The sequence below is a fragment of the Homo sapiens genome, chromosome 11 (assembly GCF_000001405.40).
Source record: "Homo sapiens chromosome 11, GRCh38.p14 Primary Assembly".
Taxonomy (NCBI): domain Eukaryota; kingdom Metazoa; phylum Chordata; class Mammalia; order Primates; family Hominidae; genus Homo; species Homo sapiens.
Genome location: NC_000011.10, coordinates 30,686,295 through 30,710,070, shown reverse-complemented (window position 1 = coordinate 30,710,070; position 23,776 = coordinate 30,686,295). Strand labels below are relative to the sequence as shown.

Below are 23,776 nucleotides of genomic sequence, written 5' to 3'. Positions count from 1 at the left end.
AACGTTAGAGTTTTCTCATACTCATTTTGTGCATTGATTTCTAGTGATCTCTTTTCCCTTGCTTATGTTTGTCTGAATTCAATACCAGGATAGTGTGTTAAGCATGATGTTATTCTTTTTTATTTAATGGTAATTAATTATAAAAATTGTTTTGAAATATATTTGAATTTTCTCTTCAAAGATGCTTTCTTTTCTTGCTATTTAACCTACTAATTTTCTATTTGGCTTCATGATCTAATTTTTGTTAATCTTGAGAAAATTAGCAAAATTAATGCAAATTTTGGATATTGTAATAATAGCATGGGATTAGTTACAAATGCAAGCAGATACACCTTTTAAGTGTAAAGAACCGAAAAGCAAAGTGTTTATAGTTTTATCATTGGCTGTTTGGTTTTTCTTATAAAGTATGTGTTTTATATCAGTAATCATCAGCTAAAATGTTTTTAAAGAAAACATAATTATAAGAGGCCGAGGCAAGAAGATCACTTGAAGTCACGAGTTTGAGACCAGCCTGAGCAACATAGTGAGACCCTGTCTCTGCAAAACTGTTTAAAAATCAGCTGAGTGTGGTAGTGCATACCTGTAGTCTGAGCTACTTAGGAGGCTGAAACAGGAGGATCACTTGAGCCCAGAGTTCGAGGCTTCAGTGAGCTGTGATTGTGCCATTGCATTCCAGCCTGGGCAACAGAGTGAGACTCAAGAAAGAAAGAAAAAAAGAGAGAAAGAAAGAAAGAAAGAAAGAAAGAGAGAGAGAGAGAAAGAAAGAAAGAAAGAAAGAAGAGAGAGAGAAAGAAAGAAACAGAAAAAGAAAGAAAGAAGGCGAAGAAAGGAAGGAAGAAAGAAGGGAAGGAAGGGAGGGAGGGAGGAAGGGAGGGAAATAAAAAAATAAAAAATAAATAGGCCAGGCATGGTGGCTCACACCTGCAATCCCAGCCCTTTAGGAGCCAAGGTGGGTGGATCACTTAAGGCCAGGAGTTCGAGACTAGCCTGGTCAACATGATGAAACCCCATCTCTACTAAAATTACAAAAACTGCACTCCAGTCTGGGTAACAGAGCAAGATTTCGAACAAAAAAAAAAAGAAAGAAAGAAAGAAAGAAAAAAGCAAGCATGCCTAGCTTTGCTTTCTTTAAAATAAGTTTACTTTTAATTATTATGGGTACATCATAGTTATATATATTTATGGAGTACTTGTGATGTTTTCATGCAGGCATACAATATGTAATGATCACATCAGGGTAATTGGGGTATCCATCACCTCAAGGATTGATCATTTCATTAGGTGAGGAATATTCCAATTTTATTATTTTAGTTATTTTAAAATATACAATAAATTATTGTTAACTATAGTCATGTAGTCACCCTACTGTGCTACTGAATACTAAATCTTATTCATTCTAACTGCATTTTTGTACCTATTGACCATCCTTTTGTTTTTTTATCTCCCCCTCCTTGCTACCTTTCCCAGCCTCCAGTAACCATCTTTCTAGTCTCTATCTCCATTAGCTCAATTGTTGTTTTTTTTTTTTAGCTCACACATTTGAGTGTGAACATGCAATATTTGTCTTTTTGTGCCTGGCCTGTTTCACTTAATATAATGATCTTCCATTCCATCCGTGTTGCTGCAAATGACAGGATTTCATTCTTTTTATAGCTGAATAGTATTCCATTGTGTATATATGCCACCTTTTCTTCATTCATTCATCCATTGATGGACACTTAGGTTGATTATATTTTGGCTATTGTAAATAGGGCTGCAAACAAACATGGGAGCGTGGATATCTCTCTGATACACTAATTTCTTTTCTTTTTGATATATACCTAGCAGTGGGACGATTGGATAATATGGGGGGTCTATTTTTAGTTTTTGAAGAAACTCCATGCTATTTTCCATAGTGGATTAGTGGCTACAGTAATTTATATTCCCACTAACAGTGTATGAGGGTTCCCCTTTCTCCACATCCATGCCAGCATTCATTATTGTCTGTCTTTTGGATAAAAGCCATTTTAACTGGAGTAAGATGATACCTTTTTGTAGTTTTTATTTACATTTCTTCATCAGTCAAATTTTTTAATAAAATGATACTAGTCTTTGCCATAAATATTAGAGGAACCAAAAAAAAAAAAAAAACAAAGTCCTGAAATCTAGTATTTAAATTTTAATTTTGTGACAAGATGGGCTAGATGCTTACCAAACCCATTTCCTCTTCCTGGGTGTAGGAATAAGATAAAGGAAAACTCTTCCTTACTGTAGAAATATAGTTAATAAAGGTACAAGAGAAAGGAAATAGACAATTACAATTAAGCAAACACCATAGTAATAATTGTGTGTCATAAAAACAAGATCCATCAATGAATGCCAAAATCAGTAGGTGGAAGTTTGAAGAGAAACACTTTCTATAGCCTCAAAATGTGTCCTCTAAGATCTTTAGTAACTACAAAGAGAAAGATAGTAAGTTTACAGTGGTGAAATGCAGCAGACACCAACTTAACCAAGCAATCAAAGTCAACATCACTGGTAATAAAGACATTAATATTATGAACCCAGATATAATGCCCTGAGAAAGACACAACATCATTTCTCCCTCTTGGGTAAGGTCATGTGATGAATTATCACCAGCAGGAGATGAGTGAAGGTCCTGTGCCACTTTCAGGCTCAAACAGTCAGGCAAGGCCCATCTCCTCCACACAGTGGTTTCCAAACTGCAAGCTGGATTCCTATGTGCAGGGACAAAATGTGTTGAGGATGGCAGAGCTTTGTCATCCTCAGTCATTGGATGACATCATATAGCAGAGTCACCAAAAACTGTGTTGAACTGTATCATGAGTGAGAAATAACCTTTTGTTATATTAAACTCTTGAGATTCAGGGATTCAGATTAACTCTTATAACAGTTAATTTACTCAGATTAATTCTATCCATTTATATTCAACCTCTGGTTGTATCTCCCTTAAATTTAGTGTTATAATGGATTTTTAATAACAAATTTTAAGAAAATTGAAAGACATGAAACAAAAATCACCTATATGTCACAAAATATTTTGAACACACAGAAAATAAATATACAATATGCAGGAACATTGTAAACATGGTAATAAAACAACAAGTCAAATTAGTGAAATACTACTAATTTGTTTCTGTCAAATCGATTCATTAAAATGGTTATAGTACATGTGGGTGAATGCATGGCAAAATAAGGACATTTATATTCAGTAAGAAGTATAATTGTTGCATTATTTTGGGAAACAAATTTAATAATATATATTAAGACCTTTAAAAACGTGCATCCCTATTCACCCATAATTCCATTACTAAGAATTTATTCTATAGAAATAATTATTGATGTCATGTACAAGAATGTTATCTTAGCATTGCCTATTTCAAAGGTGGACAGATTACAGTCTGTAGGCCAAATCTCATCTGCCATCTGTGTTTGTAAATAAAGTTTTATTGGAAGACAACCACAACCATTCATTTACATATTGTCTATGGCGGTTTTTGCATCAGAGCTGGATTTATAGCTCTTCTTTGTTAGAAAGGGTGTTGCAGACACAAGGCTATCTATTTACTAGCTTGCCAATGTCTGAGCTTTGCATAATCACATTTGGACAGAAACTCCCATAACAGCCACTAGCTCCCTGAGGGCACTCCTGTTGCTCTGGACATGCTTTGGAGAGGCCAAGTGTGCTTTAGAGTAACTTTATTTTCTCCTTGGATTCCTATGTCTAGATCCATTTAAATCTTTCTGCTTAGCTATGTTACATTTGCAAATATGTCTTTCTGATTCGTCTACCCACAGATCACCTGTAAGGATCTGTCAATGGTTAAATTTTATTAGTCTAGATATGCTACTTCAATTCAACAAGTAGGTTATGTAACCTCCATGTAATTGCTGAGGAGGGAAAATGTATGTTCAATGTCATGGCTACAGAGAGAGGAAGGAGACTGTTTTCATGTGAACTTCTTGCAGCTGCATAAACAGAAGGAAGCAATTATGAATCTCAGGTGTGGAGCCAAGAATTCTAAATCCTAGAAATGGAGTTGATGGAGGAAAGATTGAGGATGATCATAAGTGCATTAAAATGAGATATATGGCCAAAAGAGAAAATATGGTTATTCAGACAAACTGACACAGCATCTTCACTATTTTATTTTAGAAGGTCAGCTTTTATCTCAGACTAGCCAAATCAGATAAGGCAATAAATGCCAAAATGCTTTGCACACCATAAAGTGCTAAAGGAAATAAGGGTTAAAATTCATGATGCCTGGTTTTAAAAACAGCTATGGGTGCATTTTTAACATTTTTAGAGTAGTCTGTATGATAAATTAAAATATATAGATTAAGAGCTAGAAACTGATTCACTAATCTATTTAAAAGTACATTTTACATGGTTTACTCCATTTTCACAGATTTTTAGGAGAACTACTCTAAGCCTAAATTCTCTGTTACTTCCTTTTTGCCTCCTTACCCACGAAGGAAATGACATGTACAAGAACACCCTAAAGCAGGGTCTCTACTGAACAGTGGGGTTGAATAACTTGGTAAAAGCTTTATGTCAGTTCCCACCTGGAAATAGTTTAGAGCTTTAGAGCCTAGTTATTTGTTATAATCTGAATGTTTGTGTACCCCCTAAATTCATTGGTTGAAATCCCAACCCCTAATGTGATGGTACTAGGGGGTGGGGCCTTTTGGGAGGTGATGGGGTGATGAAAGTGGAGCCCTCTTGACTGGGATTAGTGCTCTTATAAAAGAGATCCCAGGGAGTGGCCTTGTCCCTTCCACCATGTGAGGACACAGCGAGAAGCTGAGGCCCTCACCAGACACTGAATCTGCCAGCCCTGAAAATTTGAACTTCCCAGCTCCAGAACTGTAAGAAACACATTTCTGTTGTTTATAAGCACCACAGTTTATGGTATTTTGTTTAACAGCCTGAACGGACTAAGACACTATTCAAGGGGTTGTCTGCATGCCAGCAGAAATAGCACCACCTATGAGCTTGTTAGAAATGTAATATCTCAGGCCCCATTTCAGTCTCACTCCATCAGAATCTCCATTCATCGTTTCTTTTCCTTTTTTTTTTGAGACTGAGTCTCACTTTGTCACCCAAGCTGGAGTGCAGTGGTGTGATCTCACTGCAGCCTTCTAGGCTCAAGTGATTCTCTTGCCTCAGCCTCCCAAGTAGCTGGGATTACAGGTGTGTGCCACCACGCCCAGCTAATTTTTGTATTTTTAGTAGAGACAGGGTTTCACCATGTTGGCTAGGCTGGTCTTGAACTCCTGACCTCAAGTGATCCACCCACCTCAGCCTCCCAGAGTGTTGGGATTACAGGCTTGAGCCACCATGCCCAGCCAGAATCTGCATTGTAACAGGATCACAGGTAATTCACATGCACTTTCAAGTTTAGAGCACCCTACAAGAAACCTCTCAGAAGAAAGAGTCTATTGGGACAACAGACCAAGAAATAGTTATGTTCCTATTATAATGGCCATTGGATGAGAAGAACTTAGCAGGATTCCTAGCACATATTCATTCACTTGTCATGCATTTATGAGCAGTGTTATGTGCCAACTACTGTGCTGGTACTGGGAACGAAAAGTTTAAGAAGAATTGGTCATGCTCTCATATTTCACATCCTTGGTTAGCATTTAGTCACCCAGATTCTCCCCTGGTGATATCTGCCTAAGGTCACCATCTATTTCCTTCTCCAGAAAATTGATGACATTAATAACAGCAAATATTCATGGATGGCTTGATCTTTGTCAAGCGTTGTGCTGCACTTTAAATACATTCAGCTGTTGTTTTGCCCACTCTCAATTTTTTTTGTAGTGATGTAACATCACCTTTTTTGCTTGAAAGGTGCTGCCCTTCACCCTTTTCCTGTCCATACTATTTGAGTGAGGCTGACACAACCAACTTCCTCCAGGATCAAGCCAATCTGAGAATTCTTTCTCTTGGTCTCAGTCTAGAGTACATGACCCAGGAGTTACAAATGAGATTCAGTCCTGGGACTTTTTCTGGAACTATGAAAAAGAAGTACTGTTTTTTAGCTTCTGGTGATCATCTTTGCCAACACATGAAGAGAAACTACTTGAAATTAAAGCCTATCCAAAGAACAGCTCAGCCAAGAGTTGGAGAAAAGACAAATTTTGAATACATTTATTGAACATCTTTATCCAACCATACGTAAAGCCAGCCTTTCACTTTCAATTTCCTGTTGCATGAATTAATACATTTCCTTTGCGTTTTTGTTAGAGTTGGATTTTTTGGGGGACCTTCAACTCATGATATCCTGACATTGCACATACACGTTTTCATTTAATCTTTACAATATGCCCCAAAATAGATAGTATTAGTGTAGTCATTTTCCAGATGAAGAAACTGAGGCTCCGAGAGGTTAAGTATCTTGCTCAATAATACATAGCTGACAGATGGCAGACTAAAATTTAACTCTCAGAATACCTCAGTACAAAAATTTACAATTCATCAGTACCATTGTGAGTATTGTTTACTGTCTGGAATCATTAAACTCTACATTTGAGAAAGATTGAAAAGAAGTAAATATTGTAGAAACTCACTCTAATGGTCTCTATGCTATGAAAATGTATCCCTGAAAGACTGCTGGAATAACTGGTCCATTGCTCACCTTTCTTAACTGAACCTCCTTGAGCAGAGTTTATTACAGACCTCATCTTAATTCAGTCTGTGCAGTAATGGGTTGCAGGTTTATGGCGACAACCATGGGTAATTTACCCTAAGGTCAAAGCCAGCTCAAGGTAAACTTGGGAAATTACACAAACTTTTTAGCTTCATAGTTCTACTTCTCCCATGCTTTTCCATTTCCCATTTCCCAACAATGACACCCATCTCTAGCACATTTTTCTTGGGACCTAATTTAAAAATTGTAAAGAAAAGAATCACACTATTTTTCATCTTAATTTTTTTTTTAAATTTAAGAGGAAAAGCAACCTTTAAATTGTGGGTTATCTAGTTTAAAGCTACAGTAATGAACTATTAATAGTGGAAATCTATGATCAGGGAAGGCAACATCTACCGTGATTTCTGCAGTCATAGCCCTGACTCCATCTATCCCTAAGGCTAAAACTGAGCAGGTCTGTGAATACTTTGAGACTGCAGGCAGTCATGCTAAACAGAGCCAACCTTATTGGGTAATGCTCATTTAAATAAATTAGATCATAATTTTGCCCTTTGGGGGAGGAAGTGGAAGTCCAAACAAGGAATTGATACGGAACTTTCCTAGCTCTTATGAAAAAGAAAGATAGAGAATTTTGCAAGGAAGTACCATTTATTAAAATGAGCTATCAATAGAAGCTCTTACCAGTCAAAAGAAGGAAAAAGCACTTGCAACACCAGTGTGTCTGTGCTGTTCGTCACCTATATCCCAACCCCTTTCAATCTCCCATCCTGCTGCTGCTCCACTTCCAAAACAATTTGTTAATATGTCTGTTCTGCAGACCTGCTCTGCATTTGCCAGACTGAATCCTCAAATGCTTTATTCATTTATAGGTGAGGTTAGCTGGAACTACATGAGAAAAATCAAATTTAATCTACTTCTTCCAAGTACACTAGGAGAAAAAGTCAATGCATAGAAATGTCCCTTCTTAATAAGGAAATTCTTTTTTCTTAGTTGTAGCCATAACCATTATCAAAATGTGTATATAAATATATGTATATATTTTTCATCTTTAATTTCATTCAATATAAATATGCATTCATTTATTTATTTAACAAACATTTATCAGTGCCTGCTCTTAGTGAGACATTGTATATGATGTACTGTATAAAAACATGGAAATTGGAGAGTTCCAGGCTGTGCCCTTCTTTTATCCAACAAATATTTATTGAGCACTTAAATATGAGCAAGGAACTATTGGACAGAGTGATGAGTAACTTAGATAAATTATCTGCTTTCTTAGAATTTACATTGTGGTGGAAAGACCAGTCATAAAGGGAAACCTTAACAAAGTAAGATAATTCTAGTAAGTGATAAGAAAATAAAACAAAATAATAGAATATTAAGTAACCTGGGGAAGAGGGATAACTTTACTTGCAGGTGGTACAAGAAAGTTCCTCTGAGAAAGTTTCAAGGAGTCTTATAATAGATTATTTATTGTTCCCAAATTCTTGCTCTGTTTCCTGGAAGATTACACATCCTTACCATGTGACTTGCAGTGTCTTCTATAGGAGAAGTTTCCTTCCCTATCACGTCAACACCAGGCTTAGCCAGGTGACATGCTTCAACCAATGAAATGTGAGCACGAACACCAGCCTGCCAGCTCCACAGAGAAGCCCTGAGAGCCATCATTTGCTATTGAAAGCTGGCTTGTTCTCTTCCCTCAGCAAATTCCATACTGGGTTTTCTCTTCGAGCCTGACTCCTGGAATGAAGAAGACGTAGGGAGCAGATCCACAGCTGACTCGGAGTTAATGGATGGGCCATGAAGCATACATGAGAAATAAAAGTATATTTTTGAGATACAGTATAACCTGGTCTGAGCTGACTAAGAAATTCTGCTGAACAATGAGAAGGAGCCAATTTTGAGAAGATCAGGGGAAGACACATGTGTGTGTGCGTGTGTGTGTGTGTTTGTATGTGTGTGTAGTTGAGAATTCATCTGACATGCTCAAGGAAAAGAAAAAAGCCAGCATGGGTGGCAGAGGGTTGGAAATGACATAGGAGTGGTAAGAATGAGCTCCTGGTGCAAATCTTTGCAGTTCAGGGTAAAGAGTCTGAACTATATCATTCCTTCAAAAACCTTTAAAAAGATCTAAAAGTTGTCTTTAAAACAATTTTTACACATCACCTTGTATTTCATGTTTTTTAACTTTTTATTTTGAACACATTTCAGACTTACAGAAAAGTTTCAACAATTGCGGAGAGACTTTCCGTATAGCCCACATCCAGCTTCTCCTATCCATATCCACAGTACAATGATCAGAACCAGGAAATTAACAATGATATGGTTTGGCTGTGTCCCCACCCAAATCTCATCTTAAATTGTAGTTCCCATAGTCCCCATGTGTCTTGGAAGGGACCTGGTGAAAGGTAATTGAATCATCTATTGGGGTGGTTACCCTCATGCTGCTGTTCTCGTGATAGTGAGTGAGTTTTCATGAGATCTGATGATTTTATAAGGGGCTTTTCCCCCTTTTGCTTGGCACTTCTCCTTCCTGCTGCCATATGAGGAAGAATACCTTTGCTTCCCCTTCCGCCATCATAAGTTTCCTGAGGCCTCCCCAGCCCTGTGGAAATGTGAGTCAGTTAAACCCCTTTTCCTTTATAAATTACCCAGTCTCAGGTATATCTTTATTAGCAGTGTCAGAACGGACTAACACAAACACTAACTCAACACTATTAAATAAGCTACAGGTTTTATTTGAATCTTATTCCTTTTCCCATTCATGTTGTTTTTTTAAGTTCAGGATCTTGTCCAGGGTCTTACTTGGGATACTACATTGCATTTGGTTCTTCTTTTTCCTTAGTTGCTGCACTTCACATTTTTAAGGGTTTCTTTTTTGTCTTTTTTGATCTTGAAATTTTGAAAAATATTGGTCAGATATTTTGTCAAGTGTCTCCCAACTTGGAGTTGTCTGATGTTTTCTCATGATTGGAATGAAGTTATGGATTTTGGCACAAATACCAAAGAAATAGGAAATGTTAATTGGTATAGCCATTATGGAAAACAGTAGGGAGGTTCCTTTAAAAACTAAAAACAGAACTACCGTATGACCAAGCAGTCTGGATATATACCCCATGGACATGAATCAGACCTCAGAGATAGATAACTTTGCTTCCATGTTCATTGCAGCATTATGCATAATAGTCAAGCTATGGAAAGAACCTAAGTGTCTGTCGACATTTCAATGAGTATATATATGCAATGGAATTTTATTCGGCCTTCAAAAAGGAAATCCTGCCATTTGCAACAAAATGGGAGACATCACACTAAATGAAAGTAGCCAGACAGAGAATGAAAAACACTGCGTGATCTCACTTATATGTGGAATCTAAAAAAGTTGAATATATAGAAACAGAGAAAAGAATAATGGTACCAGGGGTGGAATGTAGGGGGAATATATGGAGATGTAGGTCAAAGGATACAGAGTTATAGTTATGCAGGATGAATAAGTCTAGAAATCTAATGAACAGCATGGTGACTATAATGAACAGCATGGTGACTATAGCTAATAATATTATATCTTATACTGGAAATTTGCTAAAGGAGTGGATTTTAGGTGTTCTTACTACAAGAAAAAAAGTAACTATGTAAGGTGATGTATAAGTTAATTTGCTTGGTGGTCATAATCATTTCACTGTATATGTCTATATCAAAATATCATGTTGTACACCTTAAATATATGCAATTTAAATATATATATATGTGTGTGTGTATGTATATACATATGTTTAACTCTGTATCCTTTGACCTACATCTCCCCATATTCCCCCTACGTTCCACCCCTGATAACCATTATTCTTTTCTCTTTTTCTATATATTTGACTTTTTTAGATTCCATATATATATATGATTTTGACTTTACTTGGTTAAGTTGGTGTCTGCTGCATTTCACCACCGTAAACTTACTATCATTCCTTTGTAGTTAGTAAAGATCTTAGGGGACACATTTTGAAGCTATAGAAAGTGTTTCTCTTCAAACTTTCACCTATGAATTTTGACATTCATTGATGGATCTTGTTTTTATGACACACAATTATTACTATGGTGTTTGCTTAATTGTAATTGTCTATTTCCTTTCTCTTGTACCTTTATTAACTGTATTTCTACAGTGAGGAAGAGTTTTCCTTTATTTCTCATTTATTTATTTAAACAAGCATTTATTTATGTTAGTGTGGACTTATAGATATTTGGGGTATTCTGTAGGTTATAATCCAATATTGTCATTTATTTCGTTACTCAAATTGTTCTAGATTTGGCTCTTGTTTTTTCAGTCAGCCCCCATCTTTTAGTGAACATTTCCTTACATTCTGCTAGCACAAGATATTCAGGTTCATTTTGTATTTTTCTGACCTTAGCCCTGGAACTAACCATTTCTCCTGGGGGCCCTGGTTCCTTTCATTGGGGAATGGTGTTTAGAAACCAAGATCTGAGTGCTGCATGTGCATTACTACTGGGATGCCATTATTTCTAAGCCCCCTTAGCAGACAGAGTTAGGAAAGATATTTGTGTACTTTAACCCACATACATGCCATATCTGTAGTTCTCTATCTATGTATCTATGTACATATGTGTGTATGTATGTATCTATCTGTCTATATCTATCTATATGTTAGAAAATATATTTGTGTACTTTAAGCCATATACATACCATATCTGTAGTTCTCTATATATCTATCAATCATATCTATATCTATCTATCTACATCTACATCTCTATCTATCTATCTAGCCATGACTTTATGCTGATACATCAGATTCCAGTACAACACTACAGTGTTCTCTGTAGTCCAGGGCTCCCCAACCCCTGGGCCTTTGATCGGTACCCTGTCCATGGCCTGTTAGGAACTGAGCTGCACAGCAGGAGGTGAGGGAGCATTACCACCTGAGCTCCATGTCCTGTCAGATTAGGGGTGGCATTAGCTTTTCATAGCAGCACGAACCCTATTGTGAACTGCACATGTGAGGGATCTAGGTTGTGCGCTCCTTATGGGAATCTAATGACTGATGATCTGAGCTGGGACAGTTTCATCCCAAAACCAACCGCTTACCCCACCCCATTCATGGAAAAACTGTCTTCCATGAAACCGGTCCCTGGTGCCAAAATGGTTGGGGACTACTGCTTTAGTTTTTACTGTTTCCTTATTTTTAAATTCTTTCCCTGGCAGTGAGAAACCCATTTCTTATTATCTTCAGTATATTTACCTATTTGTTCAATTTTAGCATACCCATTGTTTCAGAACTGTCAAACCATAAACCTTTGAGAAACACATTTACTTGTAATATTACAGGATTTATGCATGCATAATCCTATTTATGCATGCATAATAGTTCCTTGTGTCTTTAGCCTTACAATATCCATCAAGACAGTGTTCTCCAAACCTAGTTCTTTTCTTCCCCATTCCCTTGAATATGATTATATTATTTATTTGCACTATGGGCAGATCATGTGTTCTTGTTTCTGCTCCAGTTTGGGCTCCCCCTGGATCCTGCTTGGTTATTGTTTATTATTTTGGGTATGTGATGGATACATGAAACATTACTATGATTCTAAGGGTAAGAGCTCTTAAATATATATACTTAGAAAAATGTCATGCCCTCCTCATCCCTGCTAACCTGTTTTGATTCCTCTATTCTTTCCATCCTTTTCTCATCTTACTCCATCACGTAACCAATCTCTTTAGTTTCTGCTTTACCCTCTCTGTATCTCTTCTACACAAAGAAATTGATATTTTTTCAAATTTCTTTTTTTCTTATTTGAAGAGTTGTGTATTATAGATATTCTTTTGTGCTTTGCTTTTTAGTGTAACAATATGTACTGGAAATCAAAGTGTAATACTCTTTGCACCTAAATTAAAATATATGATAGCTCCGGAATAAAAAAAAGTTTCAAAATAATGTGTTCTTTAAAGAACACTGTTTAAATTTAAACCTTTAAAATGTTCCTATTTTTACATCCATCTGTATTTCTGGCAAAGGAACAAATATTTTAACTTTGTGTACTCTGGGCAATGTTCACCATTGTCAAGCTCAGCTTTCCTTGAAGGTCAGCAGGCCTGACATCTGACATGGAATCACGAAAATTGTCTCTCCCTTTCCGCAGTTGGAAACTATGCAAACTGTTGGAAAAAACTGGAATTGACTGGCTGTGTTTGGTTTGGACAACTCATCGAAATGAGAGGGAGCCCAGCACGAGTTCTGCTTGAGTGATGTCTGAAAATCTGGCCTCTCAGTCTACCTTAAAAGCCTACCTATTTGGCTTTCACTAGAGTTCAGATACATAAAACAAATATCTTTGCTTTGGCTTCCCTTGAGTCATATCAATCTACACCTCATCAAGAATATGAAGTTTGGAAGAACAAAGAAGCAATTGAGCATCCTAAACTCAACGGTTAGTTTTGGTTTTTGGGAATGTCAGTGAAAAGACTTAAGGTTGTTTTATTAATCACGTTTTGTTGGTATTTTCTGTGGCTAGTAGGAATTTGAGTAGAAAAAGTTGTCTTTTCTGTTGTCAATAAGAAAAATTTATACCTACCAATGCCAACTTTTAAATTTAGGGTTTTTAAAATTACACTTTTATAAAAGAAAACACTTATCCAGGAAAGTAGATGTCAATTAACATTTTAAAAGATTGATGTGTTTGAATATTAAGAAAGCCAATTACATTTTGGTCTGTCAGTTAAAGAGATTTTTCTGTGTTTATAATATAATATTTCAAAACCTAGTTTAGTGATATATTTGTATATGGAAAGATTAACAGCTTGAAAATTATATCTTCATGAAGAAAGAAAGAATAGAGTGCTTTATTTAAAAGTTATAGCTTTTCAACCAAATCTGGAAATACTATATCTTTGTCCACCTCTATCAAGAATGAAGGAAATTCTCTGGGTAGAAAGGCCTTACAAAAATTTCATAATCTCTAAGTTAAGAGTATGGGCAATTAGAGAACCAAATTATCAAGATGGTCACCTTCACTATCTACTTGCTCTTTATATATAAGTACTTTGATGTGGTCAAAATTTCTACTTCTAAACTTAGTTTAAGATACTTGTATGGTCCTAGAACAAATTTCTTGTACAAAAGAAGCATCTGTGAAGCATTAAAAGGGCAATTGCCGAGGCCCCATCCCCAGAGACTTTGATTTTGGTCCTGAAATCTGTATTGTTAACAAGGGCTGGTAGTTAAGAAACAGTGTCCTAGACTGGAAGGGGACATGAAGATCATCTAGCCTAACCCACTTATTTTACAAATGAAATGGTTGAGATCAAGACAGAAGTCAAAGCCAAAATATTGTTACTTATTCATTCAAAAAATATTTAAGGGGCACCCATACTCGATGCATGAGGCACTGAGAATACTGTGGCAAATATGACAGAGTGAGCCTTGCCTTTATAATCTCACGGGGAGTCAGGGTTCATGGCAGAAGTAAGATAATGCAAACTGAATTATGTCCTAAATCAGAGTTCCTGCTATTCTAATATGCAGCTTTTGCCTTAGTTTGGGTTATCATTACAATCCTTGAGAAAGACATATCATCACTACAACGTCTGAAACTGCAGGCAAGGGGAATGTCATAGAGGTAGATTTTACCATGGGATGGCCCTCACAGTTTACTTTTAATTTTTATAAATAATTTTACAAGTAAAATATATGAATTGTATATTCTTTTAAAATAATTCTTATCCTTCAGATTTTTCCCATGTTCTTGAAAAGTCTGTTACATTTGCAATAGTTATAATTCCTTACTGGCTTCCACCTCTGAAAAGTTTTGGGGTTACGTTGAAATGTTGACAAGGGGGAAGCACTTGCCCCTTCACCATCCCCAACTTCTAAAACTCACACTGGGGCTAACTCACATTGTGAGCCCTAAGCACTGTCAAGCTCAATCTTTTGCTTATGTTGCTTATGATGGGTAAGGCAAGCTCATCTGTGGTCAAGCTTATGTAACTTTACTTATAAAAAATGTATTGTTTTGTTTTGCATACAGTAGGGCAAGTAACATGGACATTGATACACCAAGTTCCTTCTTGTTTTTCCTTGAAAGTTGGCTTGATGAATGTATTCTGCAGGGATTTTAAAGGTGTGGAAATGAAGCAGACATCAAGGTAATGATTTCAGCATATGAAACCTCTGTATGATGTGAAAAGACAGAGTTCATAAGTAAAAGCTGAGAGTTTGGAGATTAATTTAAATTCCAGAACAATATATAGTCTCACTATTGCTAACTCTAAAATCTGGATTCAATAAACTTCTGCTTTCCGGGTCTTTACCAAGATTCCTTTCTTAACTTGTATTTCTGTCTTAGAAGCACTCGGTCCCAATCAAATTCTATTGGGTGAATGAATAGTGAATTATAGTAACATAGTTTTCAAGCAAAATGTAAACAGAATGTTAAAGAATTTTAGTAAATGATTAGCTTTAATATCTATCATTTATGTTGTAGATTTCATTGTAGGCTTATAGTGGGGATTTCTCAAACATACTAATAGTAGTATTAACCTTTCATTTTGTATTAACTTAATAGATGATACAATATATTAAAATAAATTTTAAACTTCAAATTGCTTCACTCTTTCCAATTAAATTGTCACTTATATTTGGATAGAATTTGGATGGAATTTTGTGCAAAATTTTTAAAAGGCCAAAGGCAGGAAAAATTATTCCATTGGATATCATAAAGTTTGCATATTTATTCAGACCTTCTTAACCTTGCAAGTCTGTTAAAAGTGGTATGGAAATTGTTCATGAACAGGCTTCCTCATTAGATTTTTGGCACCTTTATATTAGTCCCAGCCAGAACCCTGAAGAGCAAAGGCAAAATTGGAACACATTTATCTGAATATTTCAGAATCTCCAATGAGATTACTTCTAAAAGCCAGCAAAGGGTCATGGGGATTCTTTTATTCCTGCTGCTGCTTCTATAAAAATCTATCATTATCGAAATTCATTATAGAAAAAAATTGCTACCTCCAAATATGCTTTATTTGTAGAAAGTCTGTGCACAAACTTTTTGGTTGAGTTTCAGGTCTAGAAAACAATCTTATTAAACACGGCGGCCATCCAAGTGCAATTTAAAGATCCCATGGCAATTTTCAAAAGGAGCAAGGATTAATCCCAAATCCTGGCCAATATCAATAAAACTGCTTCTAATTTCCACAGTCCCGTTTGAGCTACTGTCAAGAGCACAATGGGTTTCTCCATTAGCATACATAGTTTCTCACTACCAATGTTTAACTCATTACTTTGTAAAGCACTTTAAAGTACTTTAAAATACTCCAAGTATGAAAACTTCTCTTTAAAAACAGTCCTGTGTTGTTCTGCTCCATATCAGAATAACCTACCTAATCCACCTGAAATAACATTAATGATTCCTAAACTCGAAGCTTTACAAAGGCGTTTTTCTCCACCAATTCTAAATAAAATACATGGCACCATGTAGATTACTTTCAACCCATATCTAATTAACATGCTATGGTTTATACTTGTTTTTTGAAAATGGCCATGAGTGATCTAAGTCCCCTCCTTAACTACCAACATCTTGATAACAGAATCCACTTTTGAGTTATCTCTCTGAGAGCCAGTCACATTGTATATTTTAAAGTAGCTACTTAATTAATATTTGGGATAAAAATTGTCATTTATTGATTTTTTCAAATATCCATCCCATCCATCTATCTTTCTTATGTGACAGTCATGAGCCAGACACTAACGATAAAGAGGTACATTTAAATTTTTTTTCTTCAACGTTTATTTTTAAGTTCATGGGTACATGTGCCAGATGTGGAGGTTTGTTACATAGGTTAATGTGTGCCATGGTAGTTTGCTGCACAGATCATCCCATCACCTAGATATTAAGCCCAGCATCCATTAGCTATTCTTCCTGATGCTCTCCCTCCCTCCACTGCGCCCTCAAAAAACGGGTTCCAGTGTGTGTTGCTGCTCTGCAATGTGTCCATGTGTTCTCATCATTCAGCTCCCACTTACAGGGGACAACATGTGGTGTTTGTTTTTCTGTTCCTAAGGATAGTGACGTCCAACTTTATCCATGTCCCCACAAAGGACATGATCTTATTCTTTTATGGCTGCATAGTATTCCATGATACATATGTACCACATTTTCTTTACCCAGTCTATTATTGGTGGACATTTGGGTCGATTCCATGTCTTTGCTATTGTAAACAGTGCTGCAGTGAACACATATGTGTATGTGTCTTTATAATAAAATGATTTATATTCCTTTGGATATATACGTAGTAATGGGATTGCTGGGTCAAATGGTATTTCTGCCTCTAGGTCTTTGATGAATTACCACACTGTCTTCCACAATGATTGAACCAATTTACACTCACACCAACAGTGTAAAAGTGTTCCTTTTTCACCACAACCTCACCAGCATCTGTTGTTTTTTGAGTTTTTAATAATACCCATTCTGACTGGCGTGAGATGGTATCTTCTTGTGGTTTTGATTTGCATTTCTCTAGTGATTAGTGATGTTGAGCTTTTTTTCATGTTTGTTGGCCGCATGTATGTCTTCTTTTGAGAAGTGTCTGTCAATGTCCTTTACCTACTTTTTAATGAGGTTGGTTGTTTTTTCTTGTAAATTCTTGTAATTCTTGTAAGTTCCTTGTGGACTCTGGATATTAGACCTTTGTGAGATAGATAGACGACAAAAATTTTCTCCCATTCTGTAGGTTGTCTGTTCACTCTGATGGTTGTTTCTTTTGCTGTGCAGAAGCTCTTTAGTTTAATTAGATCACATTTGTCAATTTTTGCTTTTGTTGCAATTGCTTTTGGCATCTTCATCATGAAATCTTTGGCTGTGCCTATGTCTTGAATGGTATTACCTAGATTTTCTTCTAGGGTTCTTATAGTTTTGAGTTTTACATTTAAGTGTTTAATTCATCTTGAGTTAATTTTTGTATATGGTGTAAGCAATTGGTCCAGTTTCAATTTTCTGCATATGGCCAGCCAGTTCTCCCAGCACCATTTATTAAACAGGGAATCTTTTTCCCATTGCTTGTTTTTGTCAGGTTTGTTGCAGATCAGATGGTTGTAGATGTGTGGTCTTCTTTCTGAGTTCTGTATTCTGTTACATTGGTCTATGCTCTTTTTGTACCCATACCATGCTGTTTTGGTTACCGTAGACTTGCAGTATAGTTTGAAGTTGGGTATCATGATGCCTCCAGTTTTGTTCTTTTTGCTTAGGCTTGTCATGGCTATTCAGGCTCTTTACTTATTCCATATGAATTTTAAAATAGTTTTTTTCTAATTCTGTGAAGAATGTCAATGGTAATTTAATAGGAATAGCATTGAATATACGAATTACTTAGAGCAGTATGGAAATTTTAACAATATTTATTCTTCCTATCCGTGAGCCTGGAATGTTTTTCCATTTGTTTGTGTCCTCTCTGATTTCTTTGAACAATGTTTTGTAGTTCTCCTTGAAGAGGTCCTTCGCTTCCCTTGTTAGCTGTATTCCTAGGTACTTTATTCTTTTTGCAGCAATTGTGAATGGGAGTTCATTTATGATTCCGCTCTCTGCTTGTCTGTTGTTGGTGTATAGGAATGCTAACAATTTTTGCACATTGATTTTGTATCTTGAGAATTTGTTGAAGTTGCTTATCAACTTAAGAAGCTTTGGGGCTGAGATGATGAGGGTTTCTAGATATAGGGTTATGTCAGCTGCAAACAAAGGCAATTTGACTTCCTCTCTTCCTATTTGAATACTCTTTATTTCTTTCTCTTGCCTGATTGCCCTGGTCAGAAATTCCAATACTACGTTGAATAACAGTGGTGAGAGAGGGCATCCTTGTCTTGTGCAAGTTTTGAAAAAGAATACTTCCAGCTTTTGCCCATTCAGTATAATATTGGCTATGGGGTTGTCATATATGGCTTTTATTATTTTGAGGTATGTTTCTTCAATGCCTACTTTATTTAGAGTCTTTAATATGAAAAGATGTGGAATTTTACAAAAGGCCTTTTCTGCATCTATTGAGATAATCATGTAGTTTTTGTCTTTAGTTCTGCTAATGTGATGGAATCACATTTATTGATTTGTGTATGTTGAACCAACCTTGCATCCCATGGATAAAGCCTACTTGGTTGTGGTAGATAAGCTTTTTGATGTGCTGTTGGATTTGGTTTGCCAGTATTTTATTAAGAATTTTTGGCATTGATGTTCAAGAATATTGGCTTGAAGTTTTCTTTTTTTGTTGTATTTCTGCCAGGTTTTAGTAAAAGGATAATGCTGGCCTCAAAGAATGAGTTAGAAAGGAGTCCCTCCTTTTCGATTTTCTGGAAGGGTTTCAGTAGAAATGGTACCAGCTCTTCTTTGTACCTCTGGTAGAATTTGGCTGTGAATCCATTTGGTCCTGGCATTTTTTTGATTGGTAGGCTATTTATTACTGCCTCAATTTCAGAACTTGTTATTGGTCTATTCGCAATTCAATTTCTCTGTGGTTTGGTCTTGAGAGGGTGTATGTGTTCAGAAATCTCTGCATTTCTTCTAGATTTTCTAGTTTATGTGCATAGAGGGGTTTATAGTATTCTCTGAGGGTTGTATGTATTTTTGTGGAGTCAGCAGTGATATCCCCCTTTTGTGGAGTCAGCAGTGATATCCCCCTTATCATTTCTGATTGTGTTTATTTGATTTTTCTCTCTTTTCTTTTTTATTAATCTAGCTAGCAGTCTTTTTTTTTTTTTTTTTGATGGAGTTTTGCTCTTGTCACCCAGGCTGGAGTGCAATGGCACAATCTTGGCTCACTGCAACTTCCACCTCCCTGGTTCAAGTGATCCTCCTGCCTCAGCCTCCCGAGTAGCTTGGATTACAGGCACCCACCACTACATCCATCTAATTTTTGTATTTTTAGTAGAGACGGGATTTCACCACTTTGGCCAGGATGGTCTCAAACTCCTGAACTCAGGTGATCAGCCTGCCTCTGCCTCCCAAAGTGCTGGGATTACAGGTGTGAGCCACCACACCCAGCCTATTTTATTAATTTTTTTCAAAAAACCAGCTCCTGGATTTGTTGATTTTTTGAAGGGTTTTTCACATCTTTATCTCCTTCAGTTCAGCTCTGATCTTGGTTATTTCTCGTCTTCTGCTAGTTTTGGGTTTTGTTTGCTCTTAGCTCTCTAGTTATTTTAGTTGAAATGTTAAGCTGTTAAGTTGAAATCTTTCTAGCTTTTTGATGTGGGCATTTAGTGCTATAAGTTTCCCTCTTTACACTGCTTTAGCAGCATCCCAGAGATTCTGGTACATTGTCTGTTCTTATTAGTTTCAAAGAACTTACTGATTTCTGCTTTAATTTCATTATTTGCCCAAGAGTCATTCAGGAGCAGGTTGTTCAATTTCCATGTAGTTGTGTGGTTTTGAATGAATTTCTTAATCTTGAGTTCTAATTTGATTGCATCGGTCTGAGAGACTGTTATGATTTCAGTTCTTTTGCATTTGCTGAGGACTGTTTTACTTCCAATGTGATCAATTTTAGACTTAGTGCCATGTGGCAATGAGAAGAATGTATATTCTGTTGTTTTGGGATGGAGAGTTCTGTAGATATCTGTGAGGTCCTCTTGATCCAGAACTGCGTTCAGGTCCTGAATATCTTTATTAATTTTCTGTCTATTTTCTCACAGTGGGGTGTCCCATTATTATTGTGTGGTAGTCTAATGCCTAATGTCTCTTCGTAGGTCTCTAAGAAAACATGCTTTATGAATCTAGGTGCTCCTGTATTGGGTACATATATATTTAGGATACTTAGCTCTTCTTGTTGAATTGACCCTTTACCATTATGTAATGTCCTTCTTTGTCTTTTTAAATCTTTATTGGTTTAAAGTCTGTCTTCTCAGAAACTAGGATTGCAACCCCTGCTTTTTTCTGTTTTCCATTTGCTTGGTAAATTTTCCTCCATCCCTTTATTTTGAGCTTATGTGTGTCTTTGCACATGATGGATCTCTGAAGCAGGAGAATTACTTAAACCTGGGAGGTGGAGGTGGCAGTGAACCGAAATCATGCCACTGCACTCCAGCCTGGGCAATACAGCAAGCCTCTGTCTTAAAAAAAACAACAAAACTGAAGATTGGCCACAGTCTCTTCTGGCTTGTAGGGTTTCCACTGAGAGGTTTTCTGTTAGTTTGATGGGTTTCCCTTTGTAGGTGACCTGGCCTTTCTCTCTGGCTGCCCTTAACATTTTTTCTTTCATTTTGACCTTGGAGAATCTTATTATGTTGTGTCTTGGGGTTGATCTTCTCATGGAGTATCTTACTGGGGTTCTCTGCATTTCCTCAATTTGAATGTTGGCCTATCTTGTTAGGTTGGGGAAGTTCTCCTAGATGATATCCTGAAGTATGTTTTCCAACTTGGTTCTATCTCCCCATCTCTTTCAGATATCCCAATCAGTAGTATGTTTGGTCTTTTTACATAATCCCATATTTCTCATAGGTTTTGTTCATTCCTTTTCATTCTTTTTTCTCTATTCTTATCTGCCTGTCTTATTTCAGAAAGATAGTCTTCAAGCTCTGAGATTCTTTCCTCTGCTTGGCCTCTTCTGCTATTGATACCTGTGATTCCATTGTGAAGTTCTTTTGCTGTGTTTTTCAGCACCATCAGGTTGGTTATGTTCTTCTCTAACCTGGCTATTCTGGCTATCAGCTCCTGTATTGTTTTATCATGATTTTTGGTTTCTTTGCATTGGGTTACAACATGCTCCTTTAGCTCAGCTAAGTTCATCATTACCCACCTTTCAAAGCCTACTTCTGTCAGTTCAGCCATCTCGGCCTTAGCTCAGTTCTGTGCCCTTACTGGAGAGATGTTGCTGTCATTTGGAGAAGAGGCACTCTGGCTTTTTGAGTTTTCAGGATTTCTGCATTGATTCTTTCTTATTTTTGTGGGCTTATCTACCTTTGATCTTTGAGGTTTGCTGTCCTTTGGGGTTTTTGTGGGGTCTTTTTTGTTGATGTTGTTGTTGTTTTCTGTTTGTTTTTCTTTTAACAGTTATGCTATTCTTCCATAGGACTGCTGCAGTTTACTGGGGGTCCACTCCAGACCTTAGTTGCTTCAGTTTTTCCCTGTACCTGGAGGTATCGTCAGTGAAGCCTGCAAAACAGCAAAGATGGCAGCCTGCTCCTTCCTCTGGAAGCTCCATCCCAGGGATGCACTGACCTGTTGCCAGAAGGAACATGCCTGTAGGAGGTGGCTGGAGACCCCTGCTGGGAGGTCCCACCCACTCGGGAGGAATGGGATCAGGGACCCACCCCAAGAAGCCCTCTGGCTGCCCTTTGGTAGAGTAGGTGCCAGGAGACCCTTCCTTGCCTGGACCATTTGTATTTTCCAAAGTTGGCAGGCTGGAATGGCTGAGTTTACCAAACTGCAGAGATGACAGCTGCTCTTCCCCTGTGAGCTTCATTCCAGGGAGAGATCAGAACTTTGTCTGTAGAACCCTTGCTTGTGTGGCTGAAGCCCCTGCAGGGAGGACTTGCCCAGTGAAGAGGAATAGATTGAGGTACCGCTTAAAGAAGCAGTCTGGCCATGATCTGGCAAGGCAGCTGTGCTGTGCTGCAGGGAACCTCTCCTTGCTCGAACTTCTTGTATTCTTCAAAGCTAGCAGGCTGAAACCAATAAATTTAAATTTAAATAGGTAAAAATAAGTAAATAAAGATAAAGAAAAATAAATTGACTGATTTATTCTGCCTTCAGGAGCTCTTAGATGATGTAGGAAAACAAATAATACTGTACAATCAAAGTCGAAATTCCTTAAGCAGAGGGTCTTATGAGAACACAAAGGGAAGGCAACTGGAGCTTTACAGATGACTTCCTAGACTAGAGATACCTGATGTGGGTCTTTAGGGTTAAGTCATTAATAGCAAGGCCAAGTAGAGGAAGAGCATATCCTACAGAGAAAAAAAGAATAAGCAAAGGCTGGCTGTTGAGAGAATTGCAAGTGCTTAGTATGACTATAGCGGTAGTCTCAACAGGAGCAGGACATCCTTAGGGGATGTTTTGAAAAATTTTTGTGGAATTTTCTTGGTCCCAGTAATTAGTAAGCACTATTAGCCTTAAAATGATAAAGGGCCACTGAGCTAGATGTTCTGCAATGGGCAAGACAATTGCACACAATGAAAAATTGTCCCAAGTTCAAGTTTGGACAAGTTAGGGATGTCCCTCCAGGCATTTTTGTCAATGAAAAACCTCTTTGTAACTGTCTTGGCATAGAGCCTAACTCCATATATACATATAACACAAAATATTTTTGCACAGTTTTAATATACACTAAATTTTCCAGGGACACAATTACATAAATTAAGGAAAGATCATGCTTTGCTGTGTTTGGAACTTATCAAGAGTCATTCACCATTCTAGAAAATAGCATCAAAGATGCAATATAGCTCTTGGTGTCTGAGTTGCCAGTTCAGCCATCTGTGTCAATCTGTATTTGTAGATATTGCAGTCAAGGTGATATTATTTTTAAGCAAAAGTGTCTGACAACTTTATTAAGTTCCCCAATGTAGCTGTGCCATAGCATTTTAGATTATTTTAAATTGTATATTACTTTCCTTTTATTTTTCCTCTAATGATAGATACTTAGGGCATTTTTTTTAAAAACCCAATGAGAAGACAGGTTATTTTATCTATGAGTTTCATTTCAGGATAGTAAAAGTGTATTACAAAATGCTGGTTGTAACAACGGGGACATTAGGTTGCAAAGGACAGAATGGGCTGGTATGTCAGTAGCATCTCTTTCCCCAAAGACCTCAGTTGTGACATGTGAAACTCTAATTGCTATGTGATGTTTCCAGTTGTAAGGGCCTGATTATGGTTTAATGCTTGCTGGAAAAATAAATGAGCAAAATCAAGTTAGGAGACCACTTATTTTTCCCTGCATGAAACATTTTAATGTGACTTTACACTTATATTTCCCTGGCTATTTTGGCAACATAAAAGGCCCAGTCTATATCAAGGCCCAAGTGAATAAATTCAAGAGCTGTTTTTATCTTAACTTTTCTAACTAGTCCTTTGGCACCATTCAGAGACGGTAATGATAATAGCAATGATATTAATGAACTAGCATTTAGTAAGCACCTACT

The 23,776-nt window shown here is 36.9% G+C and overlaps 1 long non-coding RNA gene across 1 annotated transcript in view; it reads left to right on the top strand.

Annotated features, from left to right (window-relative positions):
- The window catches only part of LINC02859 (long intergenic non-protein coding RNA 2859), a 48,403-nt gene extending 24,858 nt beyond the window's left edge, over positions 1-23,545 (top strand). The window contains exons 2-4 of the long non-coding RNA NR_187236.1: positions 12,798-13,085; positions 14,682-14,799; positions 21,706-23,545. This is a non-coding gene — a long non-coding RNA (long intergenic non-protein coding RNA 2859). The remainder of the gene's footprint in view (positions 1-12,797; positions 13,086-14,681; positions 14,800-21,705) is intronic.
- The last annotated feature ends 231 nt before the right edge of the window (positions 23,546-23,776 follow it).